The sequence below is a fragment of the Homo sapiens genome, chromosome 4 (assembly GCF_000001405.40).
Source record: "Homo sapiens chromosome 4, GRCh38.p14 Primary Assembly".
In the NCBI taxonomy this organism is placed as follows: Eukaryota; Metazoa; Chordata; class Mammalia; order Primates; family Hominidae; genus Homo; species Homo sapiens.
The window spans coordinates 127,958,920-127,984,579 of NC_000004.12; the positions used below are offsets into that span (position 1 = coordinate 127,958,920).

The window sequence follows — 25,660 nt, forward strand, 5'->3', positions numbered from 1 at the left end:
GGATCATCAATGGATGCTAAAACAACTGACTGGAAGATTGTTAAGGAGAGGATAGTCAAAGGCCCTCAAATGTCACCCCAGTGTCTGCTTACTAATTACAAAATGGAACATGAACCTTTATAATTGAAAGATATAGCAGTCACCCTCTTAACAAGTGGTCATGTTTGGCATTCCCAGTAGTGGGATGTCCTGGCATCCTGTACCTTTTGATGTAATGTAGTGGGGTGTTCTCAACATAACCCATGTGATATTCTTGCCAGAAATGTTTGACCAGGATCTATTTTGAAATAAACAGTCCATAAATCCAGAATATTAGATGTTCTGCAGAAAACCTGACCTAGACTCTTCAAAGATTTTAATGGTGACAAGAAAGAGATAGGTCAAAGGATAGTTTTAGGTTAGGGGAGTCTAAAAAGACCTAACAACAAATGCATAAACATTGATTATCTCCTGCATATGGCTCCTGGTTTTTTTTATTTTTGTTTTTTTAAAGAATATAAGGTATATTTTTGGAACAATTGGAAAAACTTGAGTATTAACTATGTATTGCATGATATTCTTGAATTAATATTGTATTTCTAGTTGTAACAGTGATGGAGTTGCGTAAAAGAATTTCTTTGTTCTTGGGAGGTGCAAGCTGCAATTAAGTACTTGGGACAAAGTATCACAATGTCTGCAACCTACTTTTGGGTAGTTTGGCAAAAGAGGTGCGTGTGGGTGTGTATGTACCTGCCGAAAGATTTCGGCAGTGTGGAAAAGGCTAACAGTTAGTGACAGGATATACAGGTGTTCGTGATTTTTTCATCTTTTCTATAGATTTAACATTTTTCAAAATAAAAAGATTTACTTTTTCCTTTTTTAATTAAAAAAGTATAACTTCAATGAAAAAAATTATCTTTCTACCTTGTTGGAGACAGTAGAAATATAGGAGAATGCAACTGTCCTTCAATCAAGTGACCATATTTATTACATTTTCTTAGCTTTGATGATTCAGACAAATATGTCACATATCTGATTGAATTTCCAGAGGCTTCTTTCTTGTATGACCGGGTACAAAAAGGAATGCTGCATTTCTAAGATGATTTGCTTAACTTTTAAAATTCCTTTCTATAATCACTGCTGCATTCTGGCATTAGTTCCCCATTTGAGATTTTCCTTCCAGTAAAACTGTAGTACTACAGTTTTATCCTGTTCAACATTTCTATTACAAACTGAAATACTCCAAATGATAGCATGCTTGTCAAACTTGTGACTTAAAAACTAAAAGGAATACACAATATAGTGGAGTGAACTGATCAGCAAAATGAGTTAGATAAAATTTAACAACGGCCAGGCGCAGTGGCTCATGCCTGTAATCCCAGCACTTTGGGAGGCCAAAGCCGGGCAGACTGCTTGAGGTCAGGAGTTCAAGATCAGCCTGGCCAACATGGTGAAACCCTGTCTCTACTAAAAATACAAAAATTAGCCAGGCGTGGTGGTGGATGCCTGTAGCCCCAGCTACTTAGGAGGCTGAGGCAGGAGAATCACTTGAACCTGGGAGGCAGAGGTTGCAGTGAGCAGAGATTGTGCCACTGCACTCCAGCCTGGGCAACAGACAGTCTGTCTCAAAAAAATAAATAAATAAATAAGAGAGAGAAAAGAAAGAAGTGTGTGCTCAGTGACAGAACAGTGTAGTGGTATAACAGTTACAGAAATAAACTGAAAATATTCTATAAAGATATGCCCTATAAGGACAGATGCCCTAATAATACAAATTTTACAGAGACTAGGCTAAGGTTGCAAAAAAATTTTGAAATCATTTGTAACTTGGATCAGTAACGTGAGCTACAAACGGTTTTTACAGATGAATATTTATCAGTTTGATGACAGAAAACACCAACTCTGAAGTGCAATTAAGGAAAATGTCATCCCCTCCCCCACCAAATTCTATCCCTTTCATTAACAAACCTATATTATACTTATTATTATATTTTAAATGTCATTACTAAAAAATTTTGTGGAATTTGTTTTCTGGTTATCTAAACACCTATATAATATCCTTGATTTTTCCCCTTGCCCTAAACAAGCCTAAAATATTTACAATCTGGGACTTTACAGGAAATGTTTTCCAACCCCTGTTGTCTTAAATAAAGCTCCATAGAGGGGGTCAGTGGGGAGCACTGAGGATTCAAGAGGCCAGCTCCACCAGACCAGCAAATAATAATCAACCTTGTTAGTGAGGAAAAGTTGGTGGTGACCTAGACATGTTTGTGCAATATATTCAAAGTGAACAGGTCCTGCCAACTAGTTGTACATAGGTTCACTTTACTAGGGAATATACTTGTTTTTAAAGACATATACTTATTATTTTCAAAATACTCCCTTTTTGTTTTTAAAATGCTAAATCTAGAACCTCAATCAGAGGTATTGATTATTGGCAGGAACACCTAAATCTGGACAGATCCTAATGAGCATCAATCACTTTGATGAAATCAAAGCTAAGAGTATGAAAAAAAATTCTCTTTTGTACAAGGTGACAGAATGTACCAGAAGACCACATTTAAACATAACTCAGGGATCCTGCAATTATCTGGAAAATAGCTAAAAACCAGGACGAAGCAAAAAGAATTCTGAGGCCGGGCACGGTGGCTCACACCTGTAATCCCAGCACTTTGGGAGGCCGAGGCGGGCGGATCACGAGGTCAGGAGATCGAGACCATCCTGGCTAACACGGTGAAACCCCGTCTCTACTAAAAATACAAAAAAAATTAGCCCGGCGTGGTGACGGGCGCCTGTAGTCCCAGCTACTCTACTCGGGAGGCTGAGGCAGAAGAATGGCGTGAACCCGGGAGGCGGAGCTTGCAGTGAGCCGAGATTGCGCCACTGCACTCCAGCCTGGGTGACAGAGCGAGACTCCGTCTCAAAAAAAAAAAAAAAAAAAAAGAATTTCTGAGTTCTGAGAAAACCAAATGTCATGAAGTCCACGCACTCAAGCTTATGCACTTAACTAGTAGGAAAGACATTTAGCTCTCAGTCAGAACTACCAGGTTGTAATGACACACAGTTACATTAAGCATAGATCCAGGGTTATCAAAGCTATAACAAACAAGAAGCCCCAAATTAAAGCTGGTGGAAAGAGTATGGTGACAGCAACAACAATAAAACAACTGTTGCTGCCAGATTTCAAAAACATGATGCAGAACAGTCTGCGAGGAAAACAGTCTGTCAGAAAAACTAAAAAGCAGACGTAAGTACTTAAAAAGTATAGCAACGGGCCTCAGAGCCTATTGAGACATTTGGGACTGTTTGCTTCTACACCAGCACTTTGGGAGGCTGAGGTGGGTGGATCACTTGAGGTCAGGAGTTCCAGATCAGCCTGGCCACCTGGTGAAACCCTGTCTTTACCAAAAATACAAAAATTAGCCGTGTCTGGTGGCCCACGTCTGTTAATCCCAGCTACTCCAGAAGCTGAGGCAGGAGAATCGCTTGAACCTGGGAGGCAGAGGTGGCAGTGAGCCAAAATCGCACCACTGCACTCCAGACTAGCCCACAGAGCAAGACCCCGTCTCAAAAAAAAGTATAGCAGTGTAGAATAAATTGGTATAGAAGCAACAGTCCCAAATGTCTCAATAGGCTCTGAGGACATCACTCTATTAAAATTCATATCAGCATCGATATTCATTTTAATGATCTCAAGATAAAATCAAGTAAAGATAAAACTGCACTCCAGGCTCACCACTGCACTCCAGACTAGGCCACAGAGCAAGACCCCGTCTCAAAAAAAAAGTATAGCAGTGTAAAATAAATTGGTATAGAAGCAAACAGTCCCAAATGTCTCAATAGGCTCTCAGGACATCACTCTACTAAAATTCATATCAGCATCTAAACTCATTTTAATGATCTCAAGATAAAATCAAGTAAAGATAAAACTGCATTGCATAAACTCTGTTTAGTAAATCGAGGACCAGAGAAATACATTTGCCAAAGGGTTTTGAGTTAGAGTGCTCACAAAAGGTTGGTGCTTAAGGGGAACAAATGAGTAAAAATTATTATGGTCATAGACAGCTGAAGTTTAACTGAATTTATTAATTTACCTGAGGTAATTATTATGTATATTTCAAATAAAATAGTAATTCCGTTTTCCTAAAGGTAAAAATACATTAGGTATACATTCCCGAGTCACTGCCCATAAACTAGGATCAGAACAACCAGAATTATAAGGATCAAAATACTGACGTTATTCCTTTAATGCCTTAAAATTAGTCTTTCTTTGTACATTTGGCATAGGACAAAGGCGAGCTCATTTTGGACAGATTTGTTAAACTATCAAGAGGTTGTCAGGCAATTAGGCAGCAGGTCATTACTAAGACCGATACCTTCAAGTATCTATTAAAACCATCATTTTGAAACTGTGAAATCTGGAAAGTGATCAGCTACAAAGGGCCAAATATGGAATGCAGAAGATACAGAATGTGGTGGCTTTGTGTCCGGGATTGGTGGGTTCTTGGTCTCACTGACTTCAAGAATGAAGCTGCGGACCCTCGCGGTGAGTGTTAACAGCTCTTAAGGTGGCACGTCTGGAGTTTGTTCCTTCTGATGCTCAGATGTGTTCAGAGTTTCTTCCTTCTGGTGGGTTCGTGGTCTCGCTGGCTCAAGAGCGAAGCTGCAGACCTTCGTGGTGAGTGTTACAACTCTTAAGGCGGCGCGTCTGGAGTTGTTCGTTCCTCCCCGTGGTCTCGCTGGCTTCAGGAGTGAAACTGCAGACCTTCGCGGTGAGTGTTACGGCTCATAAAAGCCGTATGGTCCCAAAGAGTGAGCAGTAGCAAGATTTATCGCAAAGAGCGAAAAAACAAAGCTTCCACACTGTGGAAAGGGACCTCAGCGGGTTGCCACTACTGGTGGGCAGCCTGCTTTTATTCTCTTATCTGGCCCCACCCACATCCTGCTGATTGGTAGAGCCGAGTAGTCTGTTTTGACAGGGCGCTGATTGGTGCGTTTACAATCCCTGAGCTAGACACAAAGGTTCTCCACGTCCCCACTAGATTAACTAGATACAGAGTGTTGACAGAAAGGTTCTCCAAGGCCCCACCAGAGTAGCTAGATACAGAGTGTCGACTGGTGCATTCACAAACCCTGAGCTAGACACAGGGTGCTGATTGGTGTGTTTACAAACCTTGAGCTAGATACAGAGTGCCGATTGGTGTAGTTACAATCCCTGAGCTAGACATAAACGTTCTCCACGTCTCCACCAGACTCAGGAGCCCAGCTGGCTTCGCCCAGTGGATCCCGCACCGGGGCTGCAGGTGGAGCTGCCTGCCAGTCCCGCGCCGTGCACCCGCACTCCTCAGCCCTTGGGTGGTCGATGGGACTAGGCACCGTGGAGTAGGGAGCGGCGCTCATCGGGGAGGCTCGGGCCGCACAGGAGCCCACGGAGTGGGTGGGAGGCTCAGGCATGGCGGGCTGCAGGTCCCGAGCCCTGCCCCGCGGGAAGGCAGCTAAGGCCCGGCGAGAAATCGAGCGCAGCGCCAGTGGGCTGGCACTGCTGGGGGACCCAGCACACCCTCCGCAGCCGCTGGCCCGGGTGCTAAGCCCCTCATTGCCCGGGGCCGGCAGGGCCGGCCTGCTGCTCCCAGTGCGGGGCCCGCCAAGCCCACGCCCACTCGGAACTCCAGCTGGCCCGCAAGCGCGGCGCGCAGCCCCGGTTCCCGCTCACGCCTCTCCCACCACACCTCCCTGCAAGCTGAGGGAGCCGGCTCCCACCTTGGCCAGCCCAGAAAGGGGCTCCCACAGTGCAGCGGTGGGCTGAAGGGCTCCTCAAGTGCCGCCAAAGTGGGAGCCCAGGCAGAGGAGGCCTGGAGAGCGAGCAAGGGCTGTGAGGACTGCCAGCACGCTGTCACCTCTCAGCTTGGGTGCTGCAACAGGCAAAGCAGCAGCCTGGGTTTCTCCAGCCCCGTCACTCGAACCCACGGGCTCATCACCGCACGGTGCGGCCAGACGCCCTTTCTCCTACGTTGGGAGCGAATCTCCTCGGCTCACACAACCCAGCCACCGGCTCCCACCGCGCTGGAACCCCTCTGGCAGCGAGGGTTTGTCCCAGTGCGGGTGACGCCCGGAAAGGAACCAGTCCCAACAGCGCAGGAGACTGAGGGGTCCCTCCACCAGGATCCGCTCACCTGCTTCCAGGTGTGTCGCCTAAGAGCGGCTCCTGTTCACTTTCGTTCCGCAGGCCGGCCATAGTTACACTCCCTACAAGGCGTCTTGCGCCCAACTCTCGCGACACCTGCTTTCTCCCATCCCGGGTGGCGTGAAGCTGGCAAAACAAGCCTGTAAGTGCGCGTGCGCACCTGACGGTCAGACGTAGGCGGAACGCCCCGAGGTCATAGGCGGGGTCACGCGGAAGGCCGGGCAGCGCAGGGCGAAAGGAGGCTGTGTCCTCAGCCTCCTCCCTCGGCACGCGCCTCCCATCCTGACGGGGACTGAGAGCCCAGGAGAGCTCGGGGCGTGTCCAAACTGCCGCGCCGCCCTGCTCCGGGTTTGTCTTCCTCCCTCCGTTTCTCCTTCCGCTGTATCTAGCATTTCGGTTCCTGGAAAGGTTACCGGAGCTGCGATTGGGGCTGGGACCAAAGTTGAGTCCTGGAAAGGGAGCCTGGAGAGCGGCGGTGCTGGGAGGCCCGGCCAGCTCGATCGCAGGCTTCCACCTGGCGGCCAGTAAGTAGCCGGTCCGGTTAAGTAGTAGGTGCGCTAAGAGCTCCCCGCGCCTCTTAGCGCGCCGTGTACGCGCCTGGAGGCAGGGACCGGGGACGCGGAGCTGGGCGGGAGACTCGCGGGTCAGGGACGCGGGGTGAGGCTGGGGGTGAGAGACAAGGCTGGAGTCCGTGGCGCGCTTCGGAGGGCTGAGATAATGGGGGCGAGCGCGCGGGCAGTCCCTTCCCCCCGTGAAAGGTAGAGGTGGCTTCCAGCTCTCTTCTCTAGCTCGGCTAAATGCAAAGGCGCCTTACCTGGAGGGCTTGTCAGAGCCAGGACTGAAGGTGGGATCTGCTGCTTGTAACCTGCAGGTCCCCGGATGCGCACCCCAACGGCGCCTGCGCCTACGGGGGCCTCAGCCTTGCAAAATGTCACTCAGCAGAGCCTGCTGCTGAAACGTGGGAGTTGAAAAAGGTACAGCACCTGCCTAGCAATGACCAGCTCCTTTCGTCACAAGGAAGATGACATTTTTAGAAAACATGTCATGGGTTTTCACTAGATCTCCATGTTTATTTCTTGGTGGTTATGTATTAACATCTTATCTCTACTATTAGGCTTGTAGGCTAGCTGGCGTCAGTAGTCATTCTGTGTCTCATAAATTACCGTTTTATTAGCGCCAGATACATTGTCATGTAATTTCATTTGATCACAAGTATCCTATGAGATAGGCGAAGCAGACACATTGCTAGTTTACTGAAAATTAAGATCCAGACAAGTTAACCCAGAGTCACTCTGTGTGGAAGTGGCAAAGTTGGAAACCAAACTTAATTTTTTTAAATTAATATTTATGAGCATTTACCCTATGCTAGGTCCTATACTAGTTACACAGTCATGTATGGTATATGCCATCACTTCTGATCTTTGTGTCATTTGTGACCTTGTGTGTATCAGCCAGGCGCAGTTCACTGGTGAACACCTAAACTTGAAACGTGCGGTCTGGGTGCGATGGTTCATGCCTGTAATCCCAGCACCTTGGGAGGCCAAGGCGGGCGGATCACGAGGTCAGGAGATCGAGACCATCCTGGCTAACACGGTGAAACCCCGTCTCTACTAAAAATACAAAAAAAAAAAAAAAAAAAAAAAAAAAAAAAAAAAAGCCGGGCGTGGTGGCGGGCGCCTATAGTCCCAGCTACTCGGGAGGCTGAGGCAGGAGAATCCCTTGAACCCGGGAGGCGGAGGCTGCAGTGAGCCGAGATCACGCCACTGCACTCCAGCCTGGGCAACAGAGTGAGATTCTGTCTCAAAAAAAAAAAAAAAACCAAAAACCTTGAAACGTGCTATTCAGAAATATCTTCTAAATCAAGACCTGATATTTTGTACTTGGATTCAGTCTTGCAGATTCATTTGTAACAGCTCACAAAAACAAGTCAGATTTGTATTATTGGTTCCAAAAAGACACATAGGTAGAAAAGTTAGTATTTTCTTGCCATAATGTCGCTTTATTATATTGTCTTTTTTAATTCCTGGGGGCTAGCAATGTATGGCACATATATAGTGGACAAGGGGATTTTTAACCAGTATAGCAGTAAGCAGAATGGCTCCTAGATAAATATATGTTGGATGAATGCTCATTGAATTACTTCATCTCATCCTTACAACAATCCTCTGAGGGGGGAATTGTCTCATGTGTACAAGGAAATGGAAGGCAGGGAGATTAAGTAACTTGCCTAGGATCATACTACTAACAAGCAACAGAGCTAGAATTCAAGAAATGCAGGACTCCTGATCCTAAGCCTGTGCTCTTTACCACCAGGCTTCTTATGGGAAAAAATGGCAAAGCGGCAAGAAGAATCTTTCCTTATATCTCATAAAAATATATAGTAGATATTCAGTTTTTATCTAAGTGAAATAATTGGCTATCATGTATCAGGGCAGATATTACTTTCTGTTTATAGGTTAAGGTGGCTTACTCAAGGTCACACAGCTGGTAGAGGAATCCCAGCCCTCTGACACTGCTCTTTTCCATTGGTGCCTCCAAGTGATGACTTCAGACCACAAAAGCATATGGAATGAGTACATATACAGCTGGTGAAATCTAAGTAAGCTTAGTGTATTGTACCAGTAGGAAAAAAAAAAAAAGAAAATGTCTCTTAGGAACACACACATAGCATCCAAAGTAAACATTTAAACATATATATATATGTAATTTTTTTTTATAAAGCCCATGGAAAAGAGGAGCTAAATTTGAAGAGATTAGATTATTTCCCGAATGTTTCACACAAGAATATGAGACTCCATTTGGTGCATTTCCTTAGGTGACTGCCCAGGATATTTACCCACACCCCTTTCAAACAAACAGCCGGGCGCGGTGGCTCACGCTTGTAATCCCAGCACTTTGGGAGGCCGAGGCGGGCGGATCACGAGGTCAGGAGGTCGAGACCACGGTGAAACCCCGTCTCTACTAAAAATACAAAAAAGTAGCCGGGCGTGGTGACGGGCGCCTGTAGTCCCAGCTACTCGGAGAGGCTGAGGCAGGAGAATGGGGTGAACCCGGGAGGCGGAGCTTGTAGTGAGCCGAGATTGCGCCACTGCACTACAGCCTGGGCGACAGAGCGAGACTCCGTCTCAAAAAATAAACAAACAAACATCCTATTTTCTTACTCTTGTTCAGTGTAAGAGTAAGGAATTATATTTGTTGAATTATATTTGTGAAGCTAGGGAAGTAGATTTTAACAGTGGATATCTGAGGTATCTAAACCCTTTCTTAGCTACTTAAACTTGTATAGACATTATTTAGAAGTGAAATTACAAGATAAAATTTAAAGTCTTCTTTTTTAGGTAAGGGAATAAGTTCTTGTACATGGTGATATTTTTTAAATTTTCATTTATGCCTTTGAGATATGTATCACCAATGTAAGGATAAAAGTCCAGAAAAAATTAGTATTGCATTGTTAAATGCTTAGGTACCCAAATGACAGGAAATAAAAGCACTAGATAGCATAATAAATGATGAGTGTCACTTTAGCAATAGAACTCATTTCTAGGAAAGACTTTTTAGTTCTTGGCACTGTACTAGAACTTCTATTTTTGTTTCCCTTTGCTTTTCCCTTTCACATTGATAACTGTGTCATTTTAGCTTGATATATACTTCAAAAATAGGTTCTATTTCTGCAGAAGCTCATTGTTGTCTGTCCAGCCTGAAGTGGGGACTTTTAAGTATCTGGCATGACTCCAGATGGTGCCTTATTTTGGTGATTTGGAGTTACGTTCACCCTGGGCTTGGATTTTTATCTGTTCATGGTGGCACTAGATACCCTGGACCCAGCCAACCCTGTCTAGAAAGACTTACGTGTTTAGAGAGTTCCACAAAAACTGTCTTTTATGTTGTTCTTGGAGCTGAAATGGGATTTAAGAAGATTTGTATGACCCCAAACCCCAGAACCAAATTTATACTAACCTATATGTGCGTTTGATTTACTTTCTTTTCCTCATTTATTAGTTGTTTATTAGTAGGTAAATATAGTAAGGAATATGCTGTGTCTAAGTTTGGAGTGCTGACTTTTGTGGCCTGTTATGCAGGGAATTAAAGTGATTTGGGAAGGTTTTCTTTTTTTCTTTTTTCTTTTTTTTTTTTTTGAGACGGACTTTTGCTCTCGTTGCCCAGGCTGGAGTGCAATGGTGCAATATCAGCTCACTGCAACCTCCACCTCCTAGGATCAAGGGATTCACCTGCCTCAACCTCCCAAGTAGCTGGGATTACAGGTGCCCACCATCACACCTGGCTAATTTTGTATTTTTAATAGAGACGGGGTTTCTCCATGGGTCAGGCTGGTCTCCAACTCCCAAACTCAGGTGATCCGCCTGCCTCAGCCTCCCAAAGGGCTGCGATTACAGGCATGAGCTACTGGGAAGGTTTTCTAGTTTGGGTTGAAAACTAGAAATAAGTAAATAATTTAGGCAAACAATAAATATAGTACTTTACAAAATATTTGAAAAGTTCATTGTTCTTAGGTCCTTTCTTGCTTCCTTTGCAACTTTCTAATTCTATATTTTTGCTTTATCTTGGTTTTATCTACCAATCTAGAAGAATATCAAAGTTTAGGAAAATGGAGCATCTCATGAGCAGTATATTACTTTTCTTCTTACTGTAAAATATAGGTGTTGGAATTTTTTTTTTTTTTTGGAGACAGGATTTTGCTCTGTTGCCGAGGCTGGAGTGCAGTGGTGCAACGATGTGCACTGTTGCCTCAACTTCCCAGGCTTACACAATCTTCCCTCCACAGCCTACTGAGTAGCTGGGACTACAGGTGTGCACCACCACACCTGGCTAGATTTCAAAATTTTTTTGTAGAGACAGGGTCTCATTGTGTTGCCAGGGCTTGTCTTGCGCTCCTGGGCCCGAGCAGTCCTCCCGTCTTGGCCTCCCAAAGTGCTAGGATTACAATCATGAGCCACTGCGCCTGGCCAGGATTTTTTTTTTTTAAGAGACGAGGTCTCACTATGTTGACCAGGCTGGTTTCAGATTCCTGAGCTCAAGCAATCCTCCCTCCTCAGCGTCCCAAAGTGCTGGGATTGCAGATGTGAGCCACCACACCCAGCCTAGCCAGGATTTTTAATTAAATGTTATTTTACTATTGTGGATTCTACTTATTGTTATTGATGCCATGGGTGTTACAAAGAAAGATGATGCCCCTGGTTCATTTCATGCTGATGTTAAGAAAATAAGTGGGCCCAGTGTGGTGGCTCACGCCTGTAATCCCAGCACTTTGGGAGGCCAAGATGGGCAGATCACCTGAGGTCAGGAGTTTGAGACCAGCCTGACCAACATGGAGAAACCCCGTCTCTACTAAAAATACAAAATTAGCCAGGCGTGGTGGTGCATGCCTGTAATCCCAGCTACTCGGGAGGCTGAGGCAGAATTGCTTGAACCCGGGAGACGGAGGTTGTGGTGAGCCGAGATCGCACCATTGCAATCCAGCCTGGGCAACAAGAGTGAAACTCTGTCTCAAAAAAAAAAAAAAAAAAAAAGAAAGAAAATAAGTGACCTATAATATATTGCAAAAGGCAGTGAAGTCCTATCTGGGTGCAGTTGCTCATGCCTGTAATCTCAGGACTTTGAGAGGCTGAGATGGGAGGATTGCTTGAGCTCAGGAGTTCGAGACTAGCCTGGTCAACATAGCAAGACCCTCATCTCTACAAAAAATAAATTAGGCTGGGCATGGTGACTCACGCCTGTAATCCCAGCACTTTGGGAGGCCAAGGTGTGTGGATCACCTGAGGCCAGGAGTTCCAGACCAGCCTGGCCAACATGGTAAAACACTGTCTCTACTAAAAATACAAAAATTAGTCAGAAGTGGTGGTACATGCCTGTAATCCCAGCTACTTGGAAGGCTGAGGCAGGAGAATTGCTTGAACCTGGGAGGCGGAGTTTGCAGTGAGCTGAGATCGTGCCACTGCATTCCAGCCTGGGTGACAAGAGCCAGACTCTGTCTCAAAAAAAAAAAAAAAGAAAGAAATTAGCCGGGCAAGGAAGGTGGCCTGTGTGCCTGTGGTCCCAGCTACTCTAGAGGCTGCACTGGGTGGATTACTTGAGCTGAGGAGATTGAGGCTGCAGTAAGCCATGATTGCCCCACTCGCACTCAAGCCTGGGCAACAGAGCAAGACCCTGTCTCAAAAAAAAAAAAAAAAAAGACAATGAAGTCTTGCATTCCAATGACATGCCACTGTTCTATTGCACTTTAATAAATGTATGCAAAAGATATATTGATGCTGTATATTTTAACAATTCCAGAAAGACCCAGGGAATAAAATAATTAAAATTATCACCTAGAATTATTTTTCCTCATGCCATAGCATGTCATGCCACCCCCTGCCACTCTCTGAATATGTCCAGAGTTGGCTTTTTTTTTTTTTTTTTTTTTTTTTTTTGAGACGATCTTGCTCTGTCGCTCAGGCTGGAGTGCAGTGGTGTGATCCTGGCTTACTGCAACCTCTGCCTCCCTGGTTCAAATGATTCTCCTGCCTCAGCCTCCTGAGTAGCTGGGACTACAGGCACCCGCCACCACGCCCGGCTAGTTTTTTGTATTTTTAGTAGAGATGGGGTTTCTCCGTGTTAGCCAGGGTGGTCTCAATCTCCTGACCTCGTGATCTGCCCCTCGGCCTCCCAAAGTGCTGGGATTACAGGCGTGAGCCACCGCACCTGGCCTAAGAGTTGGCATCTTATTTGGAATATGTAACACTAATCAGAATTTTGGTAAAGAGTAATCTATTCCATTTCCACTCCAACTGGGTGTACTTCAGTTCCCAATTCTGACACTAACCACCTAGAATTAATGCAGACCCCACAAGTTAAGGGCTCAGTTCTTCAGATGCACTTCAGGGGTCTCCAGGCCTCTCATCCTTCTGACCGACTTGGCTAAAAATTTAGGAGCTCCTGAGAGCCCTGTGGGTCTATAATTTGCTAGAATGACTCAGAACTCAGGAAACAGCTAAATTTATGATTATAGGTTATTATAAAGGATACAACTCAGGAACAGCCCAATGAAGAGAAACATGAGGCAAGGTATGGGAATGAATGTGGAACTACCTGGCCTCTTCCTATGGACTCAGGGAGCATCTCCTTCCTGACGCACCAAGGTGTTCATCAACTAGAAAGCTCCACCAAGGTTTAGTGTCCATAATTTTTACTGGAGTTTCATTAATAGGCATGATTGATTGAATCTTTGGCCATGTGATTGAACTCACTTTCCAGCTCCCTTCCCCTCTGTGGAGGTCAGAGGGTCCCAAAGTTCCTTTCTGGTGGCCAGCCCTGATTCTGAAACTTTCAGGGGGCCCACAGGGAGTTGCTTGTTTAGCATAACAGACACTCATCACTTAAGAAATACCAGGGGTTTTAGAAACTTCATGCCAGGAGCTGAGGTCAAAGACCAGATATACTCTTTTTTTTTTTTTTTTTTTTTTTTTTGAGACAGAGTCTCGCTCTGGCTAATTTTTGTGTATTTTTAGTAGAGACAGGGTTTCACCATGTTGGCCGGGCTGGTTTTGAACTCCTGACTTCAAGTGATCCACCTGCCTTGGCTTCTCAAAGTGCTGGGATTACAGGCGTGAGCCACCGTGCCTGGCCCAGATATACTCTTTATTATTCCAGAGTGACATGCCCTCTACAAGAAAAACACTAGTCAAGCAATTTATATACTACATATACTTACATGATTGTAATTGCACTAAAGTAGAAAATATATAATTAAGACGCATTTCAGAAGTTAGTTTGCCTTTTACCATTTGTTTCATGATTAAAAAAATTCTAAGAGGCAAGTGTTTTTACTTTGTTTTGGTTTTTTTGTTGTTGTTTCTGACAAAGGTGTTAAGTGAATGAAAATATATAAACATGATTTAGACAATCTTTTCTCTCCCCTACCCTCCCCACTCGTTTCCTTTCTTTTCTTTTCTTAGACCGGGTCTCACTCTGTCACCCAGGCTGGAGTGCGGTGGTGTGATCCTGGCTCACTGCATCCTCTGCCTCCTAGGCTCAAGCAATCCTCCCGCCTCAGCCTCCCGAGTAGGTGGGACTACACAGGCACACACCACCACTCCCGGGAAAGTTTTGTATTTTTCATAGAGGCAGAGTTTCCCCATGTTACCCAGGCTGGTTTTGAACTGCTGGACTCAAGCGGTCCTCTCACCTCAGCATCACAAACTACTGGGATTACAGATGTAAGCCACCACGCCTTGCTGATTTAGACAAACTTTCAAAATTTGCTTATAAACAAATGTTTATTCAAGTCTGTGGAGTTTGGGGGTTTTTTTTTCCCCCTTACTGGTAGGAAAATGTGAAGAAAGTAAGTAACACCTGTTATTGAGGGTGTCAGCCCAGATACTCTACTCAAATGCTGAGAAGTATAATTGGTTTCTCTCAGTGTAGCAGACAGTTTCTAAGGTGGCCCTCAAGATCCTCAAATTCTGATGTTCATATTTTTGTGTGATCCCCTTCCTTGAGTTTGGGCAGAACCCATGATTTGCTTTCTAACCAGGCATATGGCAAAGGTGATTGGCTGTTATTCCCATGACGACATTATGTTATATGGCAAAGGTATGGCTCCTGTGGCTCACACTTATTTTCCTGCTGGCCTTGAAGAAATAGCTGCCATGTTGTGAACTTCCTATGAAGAGAGCCATGTGACAGGGGGCTGTGGATAGCCTCCAGGAGCAGAGGCTGGCCTCTGGCTGATGAACAGCAAAAAAAAAAAAAAAAAAAAAAAAAAAATTGAAGCTCATAGTCCCACAGCCACACACAAAAAAAATGAATTCTGCCTTCAACCTGAGTAAGCGTGGAAGTGAGTTCTTGTCTCTTCAAGCCTACAGATGAAAATGAAGCCCAGCTGACACCTTGATTGAAGCCAGATGAGGTTCTGAAGCAGAAAACCCAACTAGGCTGGGTTCTTGGAAGATAATCCTCAAGGAAAAGGGAAGAAGATGGAGGAAACAAACTAGATGCAAGAGATTTGTTCTTCAAATTATATTCTTTAAAGGTCTTAGTTATTAAAAGCTTCCAACTATTTAAATTATGCAATGGTCTTTTTTGAAGAGAATATTAACCTTAAGTTCTGTTTTTTTTTTTTTTTTTTTTTTTTTTTGAGACAGAGTCTTACTCTGTCGCCCACGCTGGAGAGCAATAGCACTATCATAGCTCACTGCCACCTCACTCTCCTGGGCTCAAGCTATCCTCCTACCTCAGCCTTTTGAGTAGCTGGGACTACAGGCGCACACCACTATGGACCACTGCACCCAACTGTATTATTTTTGTGTGTGATAAGGTCTCACTGTGTCACCCTGGCCTGGAGTGCAGTAGCCATGATCTTGGCTCACTGTAGCCTCTGCCTACTCAGTTCAAGCAATCCTCCCACCTCAGCCTCCTAAGTAGCTGGAACCACAGCCATGCACCACCACATCTGGCTAATTTTTTGTATTTATTGTAGAAATGGAATTTCACCATGTTGCCCAGGCTGGTCTTGAACTCCTGGGCTCAAGCTATCCACCCGTGTCAGCCTCCCAAAGTGCAGGATTACAGGTGTGAGCCATGGCATCTGGCAAGTTCTGTTCTGAGATAAATAGTGAACTACTTCTGGCTGGGCGCAGTGGCTCACACTTGTAATCCCAGCACTTTGGGAGGCTGAGGAGGGTAGAGGGTGGATCACCTGAGGTCAGGAGTTCGAGACCAGCCTGGCCAACACGGTGAAACCCCGTCTCTACTAAAAATAACAAAAATCAGCTGGGTGTGGTGGTTGTCGCCTGTAATCCCAGCTACTTGGGAGGCTGAGCCAGGAGAATTGCTTGAACCCAGGAGGTGGAGGTTGCAGTGAGCCGAGATCGCGCCATTGCACTCCAGCCTAGGCAACAAGAGCAAAAACTGTGTCTCAAAAAAAAAAAAAAAAAAAAAATAGTGAACTACTGCTTACTGACAAAGTTGTCAAAAGGAAAAGAAAGCATCAATTTACTTCCCCTCAAAATTTTATTTGGAGACTCAACCCCAAATTCTATTTTGTTTTCTCAGTTTTTTTTCTTGTGGTAAAATACAGTAACAAAATTTACCATCTTAATAATTTTAACTCTATAGTTCAAAGGTAAGTATATTTATATTGTTGCGCAACTGTATCACCACCATCCATCTCCAGTTTTCTTCTTGCAAAACTGAAACTCTATACCCATTAAACAGTAGCCTCCCCCTTTTCCCATCCCCCCAGTACTGGGCAACCATCCTTCTACTTTCTGCTTCTATGAATCTGACTACTCTAGGTATCTTGTTTAAATTGAATCATACAATATTTGTCTTTTTGTGGCTGACTAATTTCACTTAGCGTAATGTCCTCTGAGTTCATCCATGTTGTATCATGTGCCAGAAGTTCCTTCCTTTGTATGACTGAATATATTCCTATTGTGTGTGTGTTTGTGGTTGTTTGTATGTACATACTTTGCTTATCCATTCATCTGCCAATGGACACTAAAAGCTCCCACCTTTTATGTATTTATTTATAACCTAGGAAGTGAAGAAGCTTCTGCCAAATTCTAAATTTTATGGAGGAAAACAAATCATGGCTGATTAGATAACTAGTGTTTACTTTAGATAGAATATTAATTTTAGGTCTACTTTATGGCATATAGAATTTTTTTAAATCAATATTTGCATTATATTTATGCCCATTTTATAGGGTTGGGATAATTTACTTATTTATTTTACTTTATTTTATTTTATTTATTTTATTTTGAGATGGAATCTTGCTCTGTCACCCAGGCTAGAGTGCAGTGGTACAGTCTCGGCTCACTGCAACCTCCGCCTCCCAGGTTCAAGTGATTTTCCTTTCTCAGCTTCCTGAGTATCTGGGATTACAGACATGTGCTGCCACACCCAGCTAATTTTTGTATTTTTAGTAGAGATGGGGTTTTGCCATGTTAGCCAGGCTGGTCTTGAACTCAAGTGATCCGCCTGCCTCAGCCTCCTAAAGTGTTGGGATTACAGGCATGAACCACCACGTCTGGCCTGTAATTTTAATCTAGTGATTTATAGTTGTATCTTTACATTTATAACATTAGTGTTATATTTGTGTCATACCTATGATTTATTTGATTTTCTAACCCAGGGGTCAGGAAGCTATGGCCTATTGTTCAACCTGCCTGTTTTTCTATGTCTTTCAAGTTAAGAATAGATTTTACAGGTGAACATTTGTACCCAATTTCATTATGGGGTACTAACTTTGAATCTCAATTAAGCAAACGCCCAAGAAAAAAAAAGTTTATTCTTCTCATTAATTATACATTACAAAAAATTATACTCAGTTATTTTTATGACATTTTGAATTTCCTCAATGCAAAAAATGTGACTCTGAAATGAAAAAAATGAAAAAAATGTTATCTGAAATACCTACATAATATCCTTAATTTTGCCTCTTGTCCTACAAGGCCTATCATATATACTGTTCAGCCTTTTGTGGAAAAACTTTGCAGGGTCTCTCCTCTAGTCTTTTTATAGCATTCTTTTCAGATACTATTTGGAAACATATTAAAATGGAAACTAAAATTTTATGTTTATATCATCTATTTATTGTTTTTCCATGAGGAATTCTACTAGGTATCCTACCAGTCATTGGATATACTTAGTATAAGTTGTTTTTAAAATATCCTTTAGCCAGGCGCTGTGGCTCACGTCCGTAATCCCAGCACTTTGGAAGACCAAGGCGGGCGGATCACAAGGTCAGGAGATCAAGACCATCCTGGCTAACACGCTGAAACCCCGTCTCTACTAAAAATACAAAAAATTAGCTGGCCGTGGTGGCGGGCACCTATAGTCCTAGCTACTTGGGAGGCTGAGGCAGGAGAATGGCGTGAACCCGGGAGGCAGAGCTTGCAGTGAGCCAAGATCGTGCTACTGCACTCCAGCCTGGGCGACAGAGCGACACTCCATCTCAGAGAAAAAAAAAACTAATTAAATAATAAAATATCCTTTAGTTTTTGTGTACCTTAAAATCAATATTTTCTCCCAATTAGGTATATTATTAAGGCTGTTTTGGAAAAATGTTATTCAGGTATAATCAGAAATCTGTTTAAAAAAAAAACAAGCTGGGCGTGGTGGCTCACGCCTGTAATCCCAGCCCTTTGGGAGGCTGAGGCAGGTGGATCACCTGAGGTCGGGAGTTCGAGACCAGCCTGACCAACATGGAGAAACCCTGTCTCTACTAAAAATACAAAATTAGCTGGGCGTGGTGGCGCATGCCTGTAATCCCAGCTACTTGAGAAGCTGAGGCAGGAAAATGGCTTGAACCTGGGAGGCAGAGGTTGCAGTGGGCTGAGATCATGCCACTGTACTCCAGTCTGGGCAACAAGAGTGAAACTCCATCTCAAAAAATAAAAATAAAAAATAAATTTAAAAATCTGTTTTAAAGACAGTTATAAAAATATTTAGGGTAATACAGATTGAAAAGCTTAATCCTATAAAGGTAGTAACATGCATAGAACTTTCTTTATGATTTTTCATCTTGGGTTTCTGATAGGCTTAACTTTGAAGAAATTAGAGGAGTGGCATAGTATAGTAGAAAGATGCATATTGCATTACAAACGAATAAGTCTCTGCTAAATGTTTGATGCATTCATTTCCAATTCTAATACAAAACTTGCAGGACAGAAGAAACATTTAGAATAAATTTTTTTTTTATGAATTAGTAATAAGCATCTAAGTAGAAAACACAAAGAAAAGGAATCTTATGGTAGTTATCACAAATACTAAATAATTTATTAGTAGCAGAATTTGTGTAGTAAAGATACTTAAAGGATAGCATAAACATTAACTGAGAAAATAAATAAAACTGGATTAATGAATAAATAGGTATATCTCTTGATGAGAAGACTAAAACTCACAATGCTATTGAGTTAATATATGGATTGAACACTCTATTAAATAATTACATTGCCAGTGGTGTATTTTATGTCATGACATAAACTGAATATATATGGAAAACTCATTGTAGAATTTTAAACATGAAAACAACAGTTGTAGTTTATAAGAGCTATTTGAAAGAAATTTAAAACAATATAGATTTTAGAACTTAATCCAAGTTTATGAAAGACTTCTAGATTTTTATTTTTGAAAATTTTTGTGGGTACATAGTAGGTGTATGGATTTATAGATTTCTAGATTTTAAAAATAGGAATTAGAAAACAGTAGAGAGAAAATGTTCCTGGAAAAATGGTTAGTAAAGAGAAGAAAAATACTCCATTTTACAATGACCGCCAATGAGAAGAAGGAATTTAATATTTTAAAGAACTAAATTTGAATACTTTTACAGCGTATTGAGGAGTTCTGCTGGATGTGATGAGATGGATTGGTTGATTATATAAACATTTAAGCGTACAGAATACATGTAAATATAATTTGTAAAATTAATGGAATGGTAGAAGCTTTTTGGTATAAATCTGATAAAGACTTAAAATCCTGATTCTGTACTAGGTGTAGCATTTAAATTTTCAAAGAGCTGTTTAAGTGCCTTCTATATACTAATTTAAATTGCATACCAATTATTTGAGGTAAGTATTATCATTACTTCCATTTTACAGATGAATTACAAAAAGGCTAAGTGACTTGTTAAAAGTCTTATAGTAAGAATTTGACCCAATTTGGCTCTAGAGTCTGTTCTCTTAGCCACAGTGATATATCACATATTAAATACAGATGCTCCTCAGCTTATGATATGGTTACATCCTGATAAACCCCACTGTAAATAGAAAATATTGTTAAGTTGAAAATGCACTTAACACTCCAACGAACCCACTGTAAAGTTGAAAAATCGTAAGTTGAACCACTGTAAGTCTAAATGTTCCTCAGTTTATGATGAGGTTACATTGTATAAATTCATCATAAAGTTGAAACATCAACTTTATGGTAAGTATGTAAGTCAAACTGTTTATTCAAAGTAAATGTAAAATAGCTAAATGTGAACAACCTACAGAATCAATAAAAAACAACAAACCAAATATTTATCATCATAATAAATATAAATGTCCTAAATTTACCTGTTAAAAAGATGAGGTGGATCTGTATACCCTGAATTTGAAAGAGCTTTGCAGCTGTTTATAAACAAGAGGAGGAATAGCACTGAAAAAATAATTAGTAGTTACTCTCTTCCAAGTTTAAAAAACACCAAAAAGGCTGGGCGCGGTGGCTCATGCCTGTAATCCCAACACTTTGGGGAGCTGAGGCAGGTGGATCACGAGGTCAGGAAATCGAGACCATCCTTGCTAACATGGTGAAACCCCGTCTCTACTAAAAATACAAAAAATTAGCCAGGCGTGGTGGCGGGCACCTGTAGTCCCAGCTACTCGGGAGGCTGAGGCAGGAGAATCATTTGAACCGGGGAGGCAGAGCTGGCAGTGAGCTGAGATTGCGCCACTGCACTCTAGCGTGGGCGACAATGCGAGACTCTGTCTCAAAACAAAACAAAGAAACACCAATGGATGGAACAAGGTATTAAATGGATAGAACAAGGTATTAAAATATTAACAATGGCGGCCGGGCGCAGTGGCTCACACCTATAATCCCAGCACTTTGGGAGGCCGAGGCGGGTGGATCATCTGAGGTCAGGAGTTTGAGACCAGCCTGGCCAACATGGCAAAATCCTGCATCTACTAAAAATACAAAAATTAGCTGGGCGTGCTGCTGTGTGCCTGTAATCCCAGCTATTTAGGAGGCTAAGGCAGGAGAATCACTTGAGCCAAGGAGGTAGAGGTTGCATTGAGCCAAGATTGTGCCACTGCACTCCAGCCTGAGCGACAGAGTGAGACTCCATCTCAAAAAAAAAAAAAAAAAAAAGACAATGGGAGGACACAAAGAAGTGATGAAGAGAAGTTTCTCCACTTTATAAAATTTTTATATTGTCTTAATTCTGCCAAAAATGTGTTACATTACTTTAGTAATTTTTTAAAAAGTATGTGCAGTGGCTTAAATGTGTTCCCGATAGTTCACGTGTTGGAAACATAATCCCCAATGCAATAGTGTTGGGAGGTGGGTCCTAATAAGAGGTGATTAGGTTATGAGGGCTTTATCCTCATGGATGGATTAATGGTATTATTTTGGAAGTGAATTAGTTATCTGGAGAGTGGGCTTGCTCTAAAAGTGAGTTCGATTCTCTATTGCTCTCTTATGTGATACCTTCCACCATGTTATGCAGCAAGAAGGTCCTCACCAAATGTTTCCCCCTCAACCTTGGACTTCCAACCTGCAGAATTTTAAGAAGTAAATTTCTCTTCTTTATAAATTACCCAGCTGGTGTTGCTCTGTTATAGCAACACAAAACAGAGCAAGACAGTGTGTGTAGGTAAATAAGTAACATCAACAAGAAAAAGATCAGAAAGAGTAGAATCCAAACTGTTAGCACTAGATATGCCTGAAATGCAAAATTAGAAGTGATTGGAAGGGGGCCAGGTACAGTTGCTCATGTCTGTAATCCCAGCACTTTGAGAGGCCAAGGCGGACGGATAACCTCAGGTCAGGAGTTCAAGACCAGCCTGGACGACATGGTGAAACCCCGTCTCTACTAAAAACACAAAAATTCGCTGGGGTGGGGTGGTGGGTGCCTGTAGTCCCAGCTACTCAGGAGGCTGAGACAGGAGAATTGCTTGAACCCAGGGGACGGAGGTTGCAGTGAGCTTGGGATCGCACCACTGCGCTCCAGCCTGGGCAACAGAGCAAGACTGCATCTCAAAAAAAAAAAAAAAAAAAAAAGTGATTGGAAGGGGATTATTTTCTCCATTTTTACTATACATACCTTCATATTGTTGAATTTAAAAATTTTACAGTGAGCATTTTTTAATTTAAAAACAGTATTTAATTTTTTTTTCTTGCCTTTCCCTTATATGAATTATCTGTACCTGTGCTTTACCCACTGGGTAGATAATTTTCAACAAATCTCATTGGAACATAGTAATGGGTAGATTTCAAGAGGTGTATGATTTTAATGAGATTTGCAATTTAAAGACTTGGGTGCTCCTTTTCATGTAGCTATTGGCTTAAATACTTACAGTCTCTAACTTATGGTGGTTTGACTTACGATTGTTTCAACTTGACCATAGGTTTGTCAGGGTATTAAATGTATATTCCACGTATGATATTTTTTTACTTATGATGGGTTTATTGGGATGCAATCCCATTGTAGGTCGAGGAGCATCTGTATTTTTGGTACCTCTTCAAAGATTTTTTTAAATTACCAAAAGAGCCCTTTAGTTGTTAGCACATTGCCTTGTTTCATTTTCATCATAGTGTTATTCTACTCTTATTTTGATAGTTAGATAGATTTTTTAATTTTTAATTATTTTCCCTCCACTAAAATATAAGATCAATGAGAACAAGACCATTCCTTTGTCATTTTTGTGGCACAGGGCCTAAAATAATGATTGGAATATAATAAGCAGTTAATAAATATTTGTTGAATGAAAAAAATCATACATATTCTTAGAAGTGCAGGAACTTATTAACCCACCCAGGGATGGTTCATCTATGGTGAACTGCACTCAACACTGGATGGATGATAATTTATAGGAATCTAGTAATTAATACCAGTTTATGTATAGTGGTAGACACAAATAGTATAATAAAACTGTATATGCAATACATTTTTTTGAACATTATTGTGTCAAAACCCCACATTTATCAAAGAGCCATTGAAGAGCACATGGAAACTGGGAAAAAGAGAGATGGGTGCTATTAAAAAAACACTTAATCCTATACTCTGGCCATACGTTGTCTTGTCTGACAAGTACATTAGCTAGTAAATGTTTCTTCTTGGTACTGAGAATTATGAGAGGCAGTATGAAAGACTTGGTTTTGCTAGTCCAACCATAAAATCAACTTAAATGCCAGCCCAATTGATGGTGGGTTACATTCTACACGTAGGCAAACAGAGGAATATTAAGTTGGTCTTGCAGGTTATTAAAAAATGAAAAAGTAAAAATAGAAGATAAAAGGGATGGTTTCAAAAAAATCTGAAGCAATGGATAAGTATTTCTTAAAGCCCATTGATGGAAATGCAGATTTCCTAAGATCTGAGAAAAAATAAAAAACAATTGAAAAAGGAAATGCAGATTTTCATTTTTCATTTATTTAAGTAGAGTAAACCCTGAATCTGAATCAGGTTTCACCCGCAAATCAAAACCATACCATTCAGTTTGACAAGATAGAGGTAGATACTTAAAAATCTTTAGAAATACTTGAGAAGATAGATAAATGGTATAAAAGTAGTAGCAGTGATTATTTATTATTTTTCATTCACTGTAGTATAGTAGAGGGGAGTGTAGTGTGGTAGTTAGATGTTGAGCTGTGTACCTGGGATTGAATCTTAGCTATGTTTCCCACTAGCTGTGTGACCTTGGGTAAATTATACTCTCTATGCCTCAGTTTTCTTGTCTGTGTAATTGGGATAATAAATCCTTCCTCAAAATTGTTGGTAGGTTTAATGAGAACCTGCGTGTGTGTTTGTAGTTCTTAAAATAGTGGTGCCTGGCAGATAATACACTATCACATATTATCCCCTACTATTTTTATCCAGCAAATAGAGGGTACTTATTTCAGCAACTGTACTGAGGATGGGAAGATCCTACCCTAGAGAAATTCACAGTTCAGTGAAGTTCAAAGGTGTACATCTTCTCTATTTTCAACTCAGCTCTTTTTTTTCCCCCAAATCTTGTATTTTGTTTCCAAAGGAATTAATTCGTCTCAATCTTTAATTTTACATGATAGTCAAAGAAATGGTTAGAAAATTGACCTGCTACCTTGAAACAAATAAAATATTTTAAAGCCATTTTAAATTTTGTTTTATAGATGCTTGTTTGCTACTGATGGGTGTGAGCAAGTTAGATATTCTATACCGGAGACTTCTCCTAACAAAACTTTTTATCAGAGGATGGGGAAGGCCAGAAGATCTCAAAAGGCAAGCAATTTTTTTTCCTGAATACTTGTTCTGAATTTGTTGTTTTAATGAACATTTAAAACTTTGTTATAAAATCCTTTACTCTCAAATACAGAGCAATTGTCCAGCAAATTAAACTATGTAAAATGTAATTATTTCCTTTTTACTTTTGTCTTTTTAGTTATTTCTCTTAAATTTTAGCCCATATCATAAATGATACTGTTGTAAAAATAATTCAGATTTTTTAAATACAGAACTCTCAGAAACACAGAGTAGATTTTTGAGTTCAATAATTATTAAGCTGATTAGAGTTGTATGTAGTTTCCAAGGATTGAGTCTTCTTAGATAACCCGAATTTGTAATGACTCTGAAACTGGAATACTCCGTAGCTCACAGGAAAATCTGGACTTAAGAAAATTAATTTTCAGCCAGGATTGGTGGCTCACGCCTGTAATCCCAGCACTTTGGGAGGCTGAGGTGGGTGGATCACGAAGTCAGAATTTCCGGATCAGCCTGGCCAAGATGGTAAAACCATCTCTACTAAACATAAAAAAATTGGCTGGGCGCGGTGGCTCACGTCTGTAATCCCAGCACTTTGGGAGGCCAAGGCAGGCGGATCACGAGGTCAGGAGTTCGAGAACAGCCTGGCTAACATAGTGAAATCCCTTCTCTACTAAAAATACAAAAAATTAAGCGGGCATGGTGACGGGCACCTGTAATCCTAGCTACTCAAGAGGCTGAGGCAGGAGAATTGCTTGAACCTGGGAGGTGGAGGTTGCAGTGAGCCGAGATCGCGCTACTGCACACCAGCCAGTGCGAGACTCCGTCTCAAAAAAAATAAAAAAAATAAAAAAATACAAAAATTAGCCAGGTGTGGTGGCACATGCCTGTAATCCCAGCTACTCGGGAGAGTGAAGCAGGAGAATTGCTTGAACCCGGGAGGCAGAGGTTGCAGTGAGCTGAGATTGCGCCACTGCACTCGCCTGGGTGACAGAGCGAGACTCCGTCTCAAGGGGGAAAAAAAAAAAAAGAAAGAAAATGAATTTTCAGGATTGGTGCCTTTAATTTTGAGTCTTGTATGTATTAATTACTTTCTGAACAATCTATTGTTTCTCACATTTTTCTGAAAAAAGTGTTCAGTTTGGGAAAAAACAACAGCCTAATCGCTTCAGTGATCAAAATTAAATTTTAATATGGCTTATGAACTGGATTTGCTAATTTTTAATTACTGTTAATCAGTCTCAATTATAATGTGCTTAGTAGGTGATATAAAAGATTAATTTTTTCCTTTTTGTCTTCTTTCCCATAATAGACTCTTTGAATTCAGAAAGATGATTGGAAATCGGGAAAGATGCCAGAATCTGGTTTCAAGCGATTATCCAGTACACATTGATAAGGTATTCAAATGAGAGAAACACAGTTATAGGAATTGTGGTTTGACATAAATATGTCTAAGAATAGATTACATATTGGAGTATAACAACAATAAACACTAAAATATGAGTGCCGTATGGATTTTTCATTTCATATTTAAAGAATACTATTTGTGGGCC

At 41.7% G+C, this 25,660-nt stretch overlaps 2 protein-coding genes across 41 annotated transcripts in view, besides 9 other annotated features; one reads left to right on the forward strand and one right to left on the reverse strand.

The window, feature by feature from the left end:
* The window catches only part of MFSD8 (major facilitator superfamily domain containing 8), a 48,232-nt gene extending 41,188 nt beyond the window's left edge, over nt 1-7,044 (reverse strand). For 10 of the 22 annotated variants that reach the window (NM_001371595.1, NM_001363521.3, NM_001410766.1 and 7 more), the window contains exon 1: nt 6,153-6,254. Coding sequence is in view for 13 of the 22 variants with exons in the window: in NM_001363521.3 (NP_001350450.1) it covers nt 6,153-6,214 (62 nt within the window). In the remaining 9 variants the exon portion in view is untranslated. Of the gene's footprint in view, nt 1-6,152; nt 6,290-6,977 lie in introns of those variants that run through there. The other 12 variants (XM_024453982.2, XM_047449993.1, XM_047449992.1 and 9 more) reach the window with 3 other exon arrangements.
* Nucleotides 5,211-5,320: a silencer, noted in NCBI's record as "silent region_15675". NCBI's record gives its function as "represses an Ori minimal core promoter by ATAC-STARR-seq in GM12878 lymphoblastoid cells {active_cell/tissue: GM12878}" and the evidence as "EXISTENCE:reporter gene assay evidence [ECO:0000049][PMID:35858748]".
* Nucleotides 5,431-5,560: a silencer, noted in NCBI's record as "silent region_15676". NCBI's record gives its function as "represses an Ori minimal core promoter by ATAC-STARR-seq in GM12878 lymphoblastoid cells {active_cell/tissue: GM12878}" and the evidence as "EXISTENCE:reporter gene assay evidence [ECO:0000049][PMID:35858748]".
* Nucleotides 5,571-5,620: a silencer, noted in NCBI's record as "silent region_15677". NCBI's record gives its function as "represses an Ori minimal core promoter by ATAC-STARR-seq in GM12878 lymphoblastoid cells {active_cell/tissue: GM12878}" and the evidence as "EXISTENCE:reporter gene assay evidence [ECO:0000049][PMID:35858748]".
* Nucleotides 6,061-6,480: an enhancer, noted in NCBI's record as "active region_21888". NCBI's record gives its function as "activates an Ori minimal core promoter by ATAC-STARR-seq in GM12878 lymphoblastoid cells {active_cell/tissue: GM12878}" and the evidence as "EXISTENCE:reporter gene assay evidence [ECO:0000049][PMID:35858748]".
* Nucleotides 6,061-6,686: a biological region, named in NCBI's record as "NANOG-H3K27ac-H3K4me1 hESC enhancer GRCh37_chr4:128886145-128886760".
* Nucleotides 6,071-6,686: an enhancer, noted in NCBI's record as "NANOG-H3K27ac-H3K4me1 hESC enhancer chr4:128886145-128886760 (GRCh37/hg19 assembly coordinates)". NCBI's record gives its function as "activates a minimal SCP1, AML or CMV promoter by ChIP-STARR-seq in primed H9 embryonic stem cells {active_cell/tissue: H9 hESC(primed)}" and the evidence as "EXISTENCE:reporter gene assay evidence [ECO:0000049][PMID:30033119]".
* Nucleotides 6,487-25,660, forward strand: part of ABHD18 (abhydrolase domain containing 18) — a 74,548-nt gene continuing 55,374 nt past the window's right edge. For 18 of the 19 annotated variants that reach the window (NM_001366042.3, NM_001358454.3, NM_001366038.3 and 15 more), the window contains exons 1-3: nt 6,487-6,687; nt 24,020-24,128; nt 25,420-25,504. Coding sequence is in view for 5 of the 19 variants with exons in the window: in NM_001358454.3 (NP_001345383.1) it covers nt 24,037-24,128; nt 25,420-25,504 (177 nt within the window). In the remaining 14 variants the exon portion in view is untranslated. Of the gene's footprint in view, nt 6,688-7,034; nt 7,138-24,019; nt 24,129-25,419; nt 25,505-25,660 lie in introns of all 19 variants that reach the window. The other variant, NM_001366044.1, reaches the window with a different exon arrangement.
* Nucleotides 6,741-6,970: a silencer, noted in NCBI's record as "silent region_15678". NCBI's record gives its function as "represses an Ori minimal core promoter by ATAC-STARR-seq in GM12878 lymphoblastoid cells {active_cell/tissue: GM12878}" and the evidence as "EXISTENCE:reporter gene assay evidence [ECO:0000049][PMID:35858748]".
* Nucleotides 7,365-7,866: an enhancer, noted in NCBI's record as "H3K4me1 hESC enhancer chr4:128887439-128887940 (GRCh37/hg19 assembly coordinates)". NCBI's record gives its function as "activates a minimal SCP1, AML or CMV promoter by ChIP-STARR-seq in primed H9 embryonic stem cells {active_cell/tissue: H9 hESC(primed)}" and the evidence as "EXISTENCE:reporter gene assay evidence [ECO:0000049][PMID:30033119]".
* Nucleotides 7,867-8,366: an enhancer, noted in NCBI's record as "H3K4me1 hESC enhancer chr4:128887941-128888440 (GRCh37/hg19 assembly coordinates)". NCBI's record gives its function as "activates a minimal SCP1, AML or CMV promoter by ChIP-STARR-seq in primed H9 embryonic stem cells {active_cell/tissue: H9 hESC(primed)}" and the evidence as "EXISTENCE:reporter gene assay evidence [ECO:0000049][PMID:30033119]".